General features: G+C 54.3%; 1 protein-coding gene across 2 annotated transcripts in view, besides 2 other annotated features; it reads right to left on the reverse strand.

The window, feature by feature from the left end:
• Positions 1-6713: 6713 nt before the first annotated feature.
• The window catches only part of TAF4 (TATA-box binding protein associated factor 4), a 91084-nt gene continuing 85304 nt past the window's right edge, over positions 6714-12493 (reverse strand). For both annotated transcript variants that reach the window (NM_003185.4, XM_047440429.1), the window contains one exon: positions 6714-8251. In NM_003185.4, coding sequence (NP_003176.2) covers positions 8084-8251 — 168 coding nt within the window. In that variant the 3' untranslated portion in view covers positions 6714-8083. The remainder of the gene's footprint in view (positions 8252-12493) is intronic.
• Positions 7918-8418: an enhancer, noted in NCBI's record as "H3K4me1 hESC enhancer chr20:60551058-60551558 (GRCh37/hg19 assembly coordinates)". NCBI's record gives its function as "activates a minimal SCP1, AML or CMV promoter by ChIP-STARR-seq in primed H9 embryonic stem cells {active_cell/tissue: H9 hESC(primed)}" and the evidence as "EXISTENCE:reporter gene assay evidence [ECO:0000049][PMID:30033119]".
• Positions 8419-8919: an enhancer, noted in NCBI's record as "H3K4me1 hESC enhancer chr20:60551559-60552059 (GRCh37/hg19 assembly coordinates)". NCBI's record gives its function as "activates a minimal SCP1, AML or CMV promoter by ChIP-STARR-seq in primed H9 embryonic stem cells {active_cell/tissue: H9 hESC(primed)}" and the evidence as "EXISTENCE:reporter gene assay evidence [ECO:0000049][PMID:30033119]".

Below are 12493 nucleotides of genomic sequence, written 5' to 3' on the forward strand. Positions count from 1 at the left end.
ATTCTCCATCACCCAAGTTTCTTCACGCCCTTGGCAGGCCTCTCCCACCCCATCGACAAAGGTGCCCAAGGGCCTTTCCTCACTCCCATCACTGCGCTGCCCAGCATCTCCCACAAGTGGAAGCAGCGGGCTCCTGCTGTCGCAAGCGTTCCACTGCGGGGTAAAATAAAGCTGCTGTGAACCTTGTACAAGGCTTTGCTGGACACCTGTGTTCATTTCTCCAGAAGCAGCGGTGAGAGACGCATGTTTAACCCCTTAAGAAACTGCCAGAAGGGTGTGAACCACAGTCCACACCCCAGCACCTCCAGGAGTTCCGTGCCCTCCCGACACTCGTCCTGGTCCCATCCTCACGAGTGTGTTCCTGGTATTTTGTTGCGTTTTTAATTTCTAAATAAGCTCAGGAAACATGATTCTCAACATCCTCCTCAGATGCACCCAGAGAGAAGCCGCCTCTCTTCTGCTCACACCTGAGAGCTCTCCTGTCCACCTGCGCCCTTCCCCAGCCCCAGCCTTTTCCACCTCAAGCCTCTACCCAGCCCCTTCGCCAGCCAGGAGGCTCCCCAGGGTCCGGCCCCTGCAGCCCCTGGAAGGGCTCCCATGCCTGAGAGGCGCTCACAGCACTTGCTGAGTAAGAACATTGAGAAAAGACAGATATACGCATGCCCATCCTTCTCAAACAGAAATTCTAGCAGACAGATATACGCATGCCCATCCTTCTCAAACAAATTCTAGCAGACAGATATACGCATGCCCATCCTTCTCAAACAAATTCTAGCAGTTAGGAGTGAACAGCCTGACAAGCAGCTAGCTGCGTTTCTAACAAGGAGTGTGATCTGTCTTCCAAGCAAGTCTTGAAGGTGCTCTAGGAAGCTCCCGTTCGACCTTCCTGGTGAGCTCAGCATCACAGGGACTATGCCCAGCCCAGCTTTGTGTCAACGCTCTGCTGGGCATAGCCAGCGCCGCCAGGGAGGGGGCTTCGGAAGGCTGCATAGGGACTGGGGTCTTTCGAATCGCATAACCACCATCGTGAGATCAGGCACTGGTTGAGCACTTGCTGTCTGTATGGCACTGAGGACACAGGAGGCCCCGATGGGTCCCCAAAGCTGCTCAGACCAATGAAAGCCTAGAGCAGCACAGATGCCACTGCCTCAGTGGCAGCCCCGGGTGAATAGTGCCCTGAGGCCAGGGCCAGGTGAAGGCTCAGGGGACCTTTTCCTTTTTTTTTTTGAGACAGTCTTGCTCTGTCCTCAGGCTGTAGTGCAGTGGCATGACATTGGCTCACTGCAACCTCTGCCTCTTGGGTTCAAGCGACTCTCCTGCCTCAGCCTCCCGAGGAGCTGGGACTACTGGAGCACACCACCACGCTCAGATAATTCTATTTTTGTAGAGATGGGGTTTCACCACGTTGGCCAGGATGGTCTCGAGCTCCTGACCTCAGGTGATCCGCCCGCCTCGGCCTCCCAAAATGCTGGGAATTACAGGCCTCATGAGCCACCACATCCACCCAGACTTTTTCTTTTTTAGATAAAATTACACTTGATTTGTAGACCTAGTATTAAAAAGATTTTTTTTAATTACATTTGGAGGCCACCGTCTGATAGAAGGGAAAACGCCAGCAACTGACTGTGGAGAACCACCAGATTTGTAGTCAGAGCAGCACTGGAAAAACGATGACAACTTCTCAGGCACTCGGCCCCCCATCGGAGCACTCGGCCCCCCATTGGAACACTCGGCCCCCCCATCGGGGCACTCGGCCCCCCATCGGAACACTCGGCCCCCCATCGGAACACTCGGCCCCCTCATCGGGGCACTCGGCCCCCCGTCGGAGCACTCGCCCCCCCGTCGGGGCACTCGGCCCCCCGTCGGAACACTCGGCCCCCCGTCGGGGCACTCGGCCCACCATCGGGGCCATTACATGCCACGAGTCCTTTGGTGTCAGATCCCTAGTGCGGGGCCAGGTGACCCACCTGGGTGGGGCCCAAGCCTTTCCCGGTTGCTTAACTGAGGTGCCCTTACACTGGCTCAAATGCACAGATATTACCTGTCAGCTTAGTGTTTCACATTGGCACGCGCCTGTGTGACACCCATGATGATCAAAACAGAACATTTTCATCACCCCAGAGGGCCCTGGCGCCCCTTCCCGACAGTCTCCTCACCGGAGCCCCACACCCTGCTTCTACCCACCCATGAACTTCCATCAGGCGGAATCAGAATGCATAGGCTTCTGTGTCCGGCCTCTTCCAGTCAGCGTAGCTCCTCTGAGATTCAGCTACCTGGTGGAGCATATCAGTAGTTCGTTCCTTTTTATTCCTGGGGGGCGTTTCACTGACTAAATATGCATCTGTTTGACTCTCCATTCACCTGCTGAAGGGCATTTGGGCTGCTTCCATCTTGAGCATCAATACGGCCATTGTGAACATTCTTGTATGACTTTTCCGCGGACAAAGGAACTCATTCTCAAGTAGATGCTTAGGACTGGAACTGCTGGTCACAGGATAGATGTGCATTCGGCTTCGTCGCTGTGTCACACACTGAAGAGATGCCCATTCAGCTTCATCACTGCATCATCACACACCGGGTAGACATGCATTCAACACTGGGTAGACGGGCATTCAGCTTCATCACTGCATCACACACCGGGCAGACGTGCGTTCAACACTGGGTAGACGGGCATTCAGCTTCATCACTGCATCACACACCAGGCAGACGTGCGTTCAACACTGGGTAGACGGGCATTCAGCTTCATCACTGCATCACACACCGGGCAGACGTGCGTTCAACACTGGGTAGACGGGCATTCAGCTTCATCACTGCGTCACACACCGGGCAGACGTGCATTCAACACCGGTTAGACGGGCATTCAGCTTCATCACTGCGTCACACACCGGGCAGACGTGCATTCAACACCGGTTAGACGTGCATTCAGCTTCATCACTGCATCACACACCGGGTAGACGTGCATTCAACACTGGGTAGACGGGCATTCAGCTTCATCACTGCATCACACACCGGGCAGACGTGCGTTCAACACTGGGTAGACGTGCATTCAGCTTCATCACTGCATCACACACCGGGTAGACGTGCATTCAACACTGGGTAGACGTGCATTCAGCTTCATCACTGCATCACACACCGGGTAGACGTGCATTCAACACTGGGTAGACGTGCATTCAGCTTCATCACTGCGTCACACACCGGGCAGACGTGCATTCAACACTGGGTAGACGTGCATTCAGCTTCATCACTGCATCACACACCGGGCAGACGTGCATTCAACACTGGGTAGACGGGCATTCAGCTTCATCACTGCGTCACACACCGGGCAGACGTGCATTCAACACTGGGTAGACGTGCATTCAGCTTCATCACTGCGTCACACACCGGGCAGACGTGCATTCAACACTGGGTAGACGTGCATTCAGCTTCATCACTGCGTCACACACCGGGTAGACGTGCATTCAACACTGGGTAGACGTGCATTCAGCTTCATCACTGCATCACACACCGGGCAGACGTGCATTCAACACTGGGTAGACGTGCATTCAGCTTCATCACTGCATCACACACCGGGTAGACGTGCATTCAACACTGGGTAGACGGGCATTCAGCTTCATCACTGCGTCACACACCGGGCAGACGTGCGTTCAGCTTCCTGTGTCACACAACATGCCACCACTGGATGAGAGTCTTTCAGATTCAAGCCCTGAGGGTGGGCACACAGTGGAGCCTCGCTGTGGTGTCCATTTGCATTTCTCTAATGACCAGTAACGGTGGGCACCTTTTCAGTTGCTTATTCGCCACTTGTGTATCTTTTCTAAAGCACCTGTTCAAGTGTCTCGCACATTTGTTATTGTGTTATCTTTTTATTACTAAGTAGTGGAATTCTTTATTCCTGTGTCATGTATAAATATTGCAAATATTTCTCCAAGTCTGTGGCTTGCCTTTTTACTTTATATACCTTTTTTTAACATTCTAAAGAGAAATTTACATTCCATTTTTCCTCAGTAACATAGCAAAACTATAAAGAAAAAAATAGAGATTAGTATCTAAACTTTTTCAGAAACAATGTATTTCATAAAAATTGAATAGACACTTTTTTCCCACTGTGTTCATGAAATCTAAATGATAGATTGTGGCATTCGTAAGTGTGGTGAATAAGCCAGTCTATAGAAAATCTCCTCTGCGTCCCGTGTAAGTGTGGCGAAGAAGCCAGTCTAAAGAAAATCTGTGCGTCCCGTGCCTCGGACCACAACATGACTGCCAAAAAGCAAAGGTTCCACTCTGACCTTGAACTAAACGCTGACCAACCTCCAAGGGCATCTTGATGAGCAAAAGGCTGTAGCTGAGGCCCAATTTATGCATTCTTCTTCAGGATGTGTGCCTTCTATGTGCTTAGAAATCCTTGCCCACTCCCAGTCATGAAGACCTCTGACGCTTTCCAGATCTCTGATCCACCTCAAGTTGATGGTTACGTACAGTGTGAAGATGGACTCCAAGATCACGTTTCCCCCACAGGGCACAGAACTGCACCAGGGCCTTCAGCCACGCCTGTCTTTGCTCCGACGGCACGACATCCTGATTGCTGTCACTTCAGGGGAAGTCTTGAAATGTGGGAGGGTCAAGTGCTCCATTCTGTCCTAGGCTGTCTTGGCTATTTAAGTCCTCTGCATTTCTATATACATTTATGGAATCAGATTGTCAGTTTCTAGGAAAATCCTGCTGGGATTTGGTTGAGCTGGCATTGCATCTGTTTCTCAGTCCTGACAGACTTGCTGTCTTCAGCAACACAGAGTCTTCCCTACTAGCACTGTGGTGTCGGCCTCCGCTGAGGGCTTTGATTTCTCAGTTCCAGTGTAAGATCTCATACATCTTTCATTCGGTGTATTCCTGGGCGTGTGTTCTCCGTGCTATTGTTGACGGCATGTTTTTAACCTTCTGGTTGTTGGTTGCGAGTACACGGAACTACAGACACCTCCAGCTACCGGCCTCGCCTCTGGCCCTCTTTGGGAGTTCACGCGCCGTGCTCAGTGTTGTGTTTGTAAGTTCGTCTGGATTTCCAAGACACACAGTCGTGTCACCTCTGAATCCTTTGTTCACCTTCTTCCTCTCCATACTTGATGCCTCTTTTTCTTGCCTTTTTTGCCCAACTGGAGCTGCCTGTACGTGGGGAGCAGAGGCAGCAAGAGTGGCCGTCCCAGTCATGTTCACGAGGCTGCTCGTGCCCCAGGCCTGGGCAAACACCCAGATCAGACTGAGGGCAGCCAGCAAATCTGTGATGAGATGCGAAACAGCAGCTACGGGTCTCAAGAACAGAGTACAACAAACATGCCTGCAGACCCGGTCTTCTGGCAGTGCCCGGCTGAGGGGAATCTCTCTCATGTTGGCCTAAGCCTCAAGTCACCATGACCGTCCCACACAGACTGACTGGACCCGACAGAAGAGCAGAAGAGCTGGAATGAAATCAATCATACTTGCAGAAATTCAAGTGCAACTGCCCTTTGTACCTGATTAAACTAATTTATTTCAGGTCAAGAACTTTGTGAAAGGCAGGTATGGGTCATGGATGGAAAGCACAGATGTGATCCCATCAGTGAACGACCCTGGCACGGCCTAGAGCGGGAAGCTGGAGAGGGCGCCCCCCAGTGCTTCCTGCCGAGACTCTCAGTGTGGCCACGTATCCAGGGTGAATTGTTTCCTCCCTAAAAAAGATACGGAGGACTCTTTACCCCCGGTCCTCAGAATGTGACTCTATCTGGAGTTAGGGTCTTTACAGAGATAATCCAGTCAGAATGAGGTCGTTTGGGCGGGACCTGATCCAACAGGACTGGGGGTCCTTACAGAGAGGGGAAGCTGGACCCAGAGACCGACATACACAAGGGAGAAGCTGTGGAAAGGCAGAGGCAGAGATCGGGCGCTGTGTCTAAGCCAAGGAACCCAAAGGTGCCAGCAGCTGCCAGAAGCTGGGAGAGCAGACCCTTCCCCAGAGCCTGGGGAGAAACCCACCCTGCTGGCATCTTGATCTCCAACCGTGGCCCCCAGAGCGGTGGGACGATCTGTGGTCCTTTGTGATGGCAGCCCCAGTGGGGCAGTGCAACAGGTGTGGGAACAGGGGCAGTGTCTCCAGCAGAACGTGTACGTAAACCTGCATATCGCTGTGGGTCCGTCACAGTAGGTGGAGTGAACGTCACAATGGGAGACCAACTCCAATTGCATCAGAGACCGTTCCCAAAGGCTCTCCAAGGTGCTCGAAGGCAGGGAGCGGTACACATTGGCGCTGAGCCTCTGAGGGCCCAGCAGGAGCTGTGACCTGTCAGGACCAACCAATACCACAAACTGCCCTGGAGACGCCCTCTCTCGCCACAGGAGGTCTGCGTCAAGGCTGGGGCCCTCTGGGCACCTCAGCCGGGCTCGCCACGTGCGTTTCTGTGTACATCTCCCCCAGCACTGGGCCTCCCGCCGCCCCTCCTAGCTGTGCCCAGCTCATCTCCACCTGTGACAGCAGAAGGTGTTAAGCGCAGCCGCCAGCCCCCAGACTCCACGCAGAGAGTAGCTCGGCCCCTGTCCTCACAGAGAAAGTTCTTTCTCCCGGCTCTGATGGGGCTCAGCTACAGATTCCAACAGGTGGCTCAGAAACCAGCACCTCAGCAGAGCCGGAGTGCAATCTGGCAGTAGAATCTAAAACTGGAAAACGGAGGAAAAATAGGCAAAACAAATACAGATAAATTTGTTTTTAATAAAGGAGTTAATTTTCTTTCAATCCTATATAAAACAATAGCAATTAAAAACTTCATTTCTGAAAGTAAAATATTTACATATGAACAAGTAACTGTGCAAAATTTACATGAAAAAATGGAAAGACAGGGATTTCCTAAAAGACAAAATAAAAGGTGTAACAGTTCTCAGGTGTTGATAAAAAATACTGATCAGCGTTCAGTTCACACGCGCTCGAATTAAAGTCTAATGTGAGAATTCACACGGAGAAAGCCAGAGTATTTACAGTCATAAAAGTACTATCAATAGACAATTTCATACAATAACCTCTGAAAATAGAAAGAACCAATTAGTATATTTGTAATAAAAAAATAGGTACAAAGAAGGGGCTTTGCTCTGGACGTCTGTAAAGTCGGCCCAAGGCTTGCATACAGTCTCTTAGCAAAATAATTATAGTTTACATAGCCATTTCTATGTCATGTGCCAAAAGTTATGTACAATTACTGACAAAATACACCAACCATTTTTCAACACTTGATTCACACCGAGAAACAGTCTTTTGATGATTCTTCTCAACTTTGATTTTATTTAATCTAGGTTTTCACTTTTAGCTAAAAAACACAGTGCAAGTAAAATATATTTATGCTGAAAAGGTTTTCATCTCTTTTAACTTTACAGCTTTACAAACTATAGCAAATAAAATGCATTTGTACAGATGCTGACCACACATTCAGAAGGAGCCACCTTTGCTGGGCTCGGCCTCTACCAAGCAGAAATGCGATTACACTCTGAGGTGGGGGTGCAACGATGAATTGTGTATTCCTCCAGGATTCTCAGCGGAGTGGAGGGGAAGGGAGGGGAGGGGAGGGCAGGGGGCAGAGAGGAGAGCGGGGTGGGAGGGGAAGGGAAGGAAGATAAATAGTCTAAAAAATCAGTTTGCTTTGCCAACTGACTATTACAAAAATAAAATAAACGAAATGAGGTCATCGGCTGTAGACATACACCTACATAGTAAGTTAGGTAGAACTAAACCAAAATGCACAAATAATGCAGAAACTGCTATGAGTTGACAGAGGGCAGCTAATTATTTGCTAACGATTCCATCAGTCTTTATATATGGCTTGTTTGGCAGGAAGGCCACTCAATCAAGATGAGTTAAGATTTAATTGTCCTTTAAGAGTATCCACAGGCCTTTGTGTTCTCTCTGTTACAGAAACGTGTTTTCTTTCACACTGAAGAGCTGATTTAGAAACAGGAATATAAAACTGTTCCATTGTAAAGAGGTGGCTGTTTTTTAAACAATATCCCATTTGCTCGTTACAAAAAGGCGTAATCTGCAAATATATAAAAAGTCCCCAGGCGTCCTCCTGTGTCACTTAAGGAATGCTTTGTAGAGCAGCAGTGAATGGCTTGTCTCACGTTCATTTTCTAAACAAAATATGAGGTCCCTGAGGTTGACCCGCGTGATTCTTTGTCGCGTGAACTGTCTGGGGGTTCCGACACCCGAGCTGCCTGGGACCACTGAGCCGGGGCCCGACCCCTGGTGATGAAAAAGGAGAAGACAGTGTGTTAGTGGGGCTCAGAGTGGGGCTTGCAATGAGCCTGTGTATCTGAGCCAAGTACCCCGATTCCAGAGGAGGCCAGGCCTGGCACGGGCTCCTTCCGGTAGGCCCACAGCTGGAGCTGGGGTGCTGTCCAGGGCCCTGCCAGGGCAGGGGCAAGGGCAGGAGGCCCCATGCTGCACCTTCAGGACAGGGCACACTCAGATGCTGCCCAATGCCCCACAGTGCTTGGACCTGGTCCTGGGGCTGAGGATGGACTAGGGGGTGGCACCCACCCAAGGCAAATGGCTGAGCGGCCCCAGGGCCACCCTCCATGTGACCACAGCTGGACTGCCTGTGGACTCAGCTGGGGCACAAAAGCCACACTAGGTCTGTGTGTGTCATCCCCGCTTGGCTGCTGAATTCCTGCACTGGGAGGCCTGGGGTTGGCTGGGACTGGGCATGCTGGGTCAGCTGGGAAGGCTGGGTTTCTCAGTGGCTCCCACAGTGATCCCTGAGCCTCTGGCTGGGCCCTGGCTGCACAGACGCCGCCTCCGTCAGCCCCTACAGGTGACCAGGTGTCTCCCGAGCTGCCTCAGATGTGTTCCTGCTTGGAGAAGCATAGCTGCTGCGTGCCAGCTCCTGTGGAGAGCTCTGGCGGTTTCAGCTGATGACACCTGCATGACACCGCCCAGCAGGGCACGCGCCACACACACGACACCGCCCAGCGGGGCACACGCCACACACACGACACCGCCCAGCGGGGCACGCGCCACACACACGACACCGCCCAGCGGGGCACGCGCCACACACACGACACCGCCCAGCGGGGCACGAGCCACACACACGACACCGCCCAGCGGGGCGCGCGCCACACACACACAACACCGCCCAGCGGGGCGCGCACCACACACACACGACACCGCCCAGCGGGGCACGTGCCACACAACTCCCAACAGCTGTCATTTCCCCCAGCTGGCATGAAAACTAAGTTCTGCTCCGATGGTGAAAGCTGCTCACATATATTTAAGTACAAAGATTACGATGGCATCTTTACAGCACATTCTCAACCAAAGTTAAGATGCTGGAAGGAGCGGATTCTGCTGTGTGTGCCAGTGGGAGCCTTGCTGTGAACAGCCCTGACATGGCCCCGCCCCTCATGCCGTCCTTCCTCCCCCCTTCCCCGTTCTGCCACTTTCAGTTCAGGCTGGGAGCATGGCTGCCTTGTGTGATGGCATGCAAGTGTGTCTCTGACCCACTGCATTTTCTTTATTCCTGTGAGATTCAAACAGATGAGGGCACCTGTCTCCGTTCAGACGCCCTGCGCTGTGAGGGCCCTTCTTCAGACCTGCCCGGGGTCCCTTTGCTACTGAAGCCTCCGCACTCCACACTAGCTCATTATAAAGTGATCCGCACCTGAGGGCCAGGCCTCCCAAAAGAGAACTCAGGCGAGGTGAGTGACAGTTTGCAGGGTGAGGGCAGGGCTCTCACAGGCACCACCCAAACAGGCTGTGTGACCCAGTGACACCTGCTATAAATTCCGGACTGTGTTTGATGTTTCTATCTTCAAAATAGTTCAGCAGCTAAAAAAGAGGACCGGGGTGAAGGAGAGACGCTCATCTCAGGTGCTCAATTTAAAGGCTGCCGAGGGTAAGAAATCAAGATATTCTAACGCAAGTGTCAGCACCAACCAAGGGAGGGCACGAGACCAACCAAGGGAGGGCGCGACACCAACCAAGGGAGGGCGCGAGACCAACCAAGGGAGGGCGCGAGACCAACCAAGGGAGGGCGCGAGACCAACCAAGGGAGGGCGCGAGACCAACCAAGGGAGGGCGCGAGACCAACCAAGGGAGGGCGCGAGACCAACCAAGGGAGGGCGCGAGACCAACCAAGGGAGGGCGCGAGACCAACCAAGGGAGGGCGCGACACCAAGGGAGGGCGCGACACCAACCAAGGGAGGGCGCGACACCAACCAAGGGAGGGCGCGACACCAACCAAGGGAGGGCGCGACACCAACCAAGGGAGGGCGCGACACCAACCAAGGGAGGGCGCGACACCAACCAAGGGAGGGCGCGACACCAACCAAGGGAGGGGGCGAGACCAACCAAGGGAGGGCGCGACACCAACCAAGGGAGGGCGCGACACCAACCAAGGGAGGGCGCGACACCAACCAAGGGAGGGCGCGAGACCAACCAAGGCCGGGGGCGAGACCAACCAAAGGAGGGGGTGAGACCAACCAAGGCCGGGGGCGAGACCAACCAAAGGAGGGGGCGAGACCAACCAAGGCCGGGGGCAAGACGAACCAAGGCCGAGGGCGAGACCAACCAAGGCCGGGGGCGAGACCAACCAAGGCCGGGGGCGAGACCAACCAAGGGAGGGGGCGAGACCAACCAAGGCCAGACGGTGCCTCCTTGGGGCTGAGGCCACCCCCAGGGCCCAGCACGCTGAGAAACTGATGCCAGGCCCTGCTTCTGCACCAAGCTCTGAAGGTGCACTATGAATGAACAATATAACTTCTCCAGATTCTGTGAGTTTTATCAATACAAATTTTTCTTCAAATTTTTCTTAAATCTTAAAAGAAAAACGCAAATCTAACCTACCTGATACTCCAATTGCCTTTCTCTACATGGCACACTCCCGCTTCTCCCCAGCCCACTTCGCCCCAGGCAGGAGGGGTCCAGACTCCCTGTCTTTCCCATAGGGTCTTTGCTTGCAGAATTCTATGTGGATTTTGGCTCCCGCAGAGAGTTTGTTGCTAAACTGCTCTGAAGATGGAGTGGAGATCTCGTAGGAACCTCCCCCTCTCTTCTCAGGACTGGGGCTGCCAGCGGACCAAGGCCTTCTGTGCCCAACCCACACGGCAGTGGCAGTGGCTTTCCTCCCTAGATTCATCCAAACCCCTCACGGGCTGTGCCCATGGTGGGCGTAGCAGCCAGAGGGGTCAGGCAGGGACTGGTCATGGAGCCTGCTTGGAGAAGAGTGCTTAGTGGGGGCTTCCAGCTCCATGGGACTCCTGAGAAAGAAGGGCCTGTGGGGACCAGGGTCAAGGCACCCATGGCCACTCTAGAGGGACTGCGGCCCGTGCAGGCGCAATGGCCACTCCAGAGGGACTGCGGCCCGTGCAGGCGCCATGGCCACTCCAGAGGGACTGCGGCCCGTGCAGGCGCCATGGCCACTCCAGAGGGACTGCGGCCCGTGCAGGCGCCATGGCCACTCCAGAGGGACTGCGGCCCATGCAGGCGCGACGGCCTCTAGAGGGACTGTGGCATGTGCAGGCGCCATGGCCACTCCAGAGGGACTGCGGCCCGTGCAGGCGCCATGGCCACTCCAGAGGGACTGCGGCCCGTGCAGGCGCGATGGCCACTCCAGAGGGACTGTGGCCCGTGCAGGCGCGGTGGCCACTCCAGAGGTACTGCGGCATGTGCAGGCGCCGTGGCCACTCCAGAGGGACTGCGGCATGTGCAGGCGCCGTGGCCACTCCAGAGGGACTGCGGCCCGTGCAGGCGCCGTGGCCACTCCAGAGGGACTGCGGCCCGTGCAGGCGCGACGGCCACTCCAGAGGGACTGCGGCATGTGCAGGCGCAATGGCGCAAAACAGAGCCTGGGACGACAGACAGCTCCACAAGGGCCGGCACCAACATGGAGCCCTGGGGGCCTCGGCCTAAACAACTCCAAACACAGGGGCTTGGGGTTTGTTAGGTACAGGTGCTGGGATTAGAAAACAAGCAAGCGAAGCAAAATCCCCGCGGCCCTGGACATACCACGTGAGCCCTCCCTTTGCAGGTCCCCACCTCTGACGCATGGCGCTGCAGACAGCCCTCGCCCCATCACAGGGCTCTCAAAAGGATCAAATGAAAGGAGGAGGTCTCTCCACCGCATATGTGCCATAGACACTCAGTATCGAAGCCAAATGCAGAGTCGCCGTCCGCGGAACCGCCCGGTGCAGGGTCTGCGCCACCCAAACGTCAGGCCCCACACGGTCAGCACCTGGGGGCTGTCCGGGAGGAGCGCGTCTGCTCCCGGGGCGGGAGCCCCTTGGTCCGTCCTTTACTCCGCCACGGAGCCCCAGCCGAGCAATGGGTGGAGAATGCTGTGCCCACAGCCGCCCCGGGCGGCGGGTAACAATAGCCTATGCCGCACACACTCCAGCCACCTCCGCCCCGAACGCGTACGTGCCCTCTCCGTGCCTAACCATTTACGGGGTGTCACACACACAAGGCCAGGTCACTGGCAGCACGTTT

Source organism: Homo sapiens, chromosome 20 (genome assembly GCF_000001405.40).
Source record: "Homo sapiens chromosome 20, GRCh38.p14 Primary Assembly".
Taxonomy (NCBI): Eukaryota; Metazoa; Chordata; class Mammalia; order Primates; family Hominidae; genus Homo; species Homo sapiens.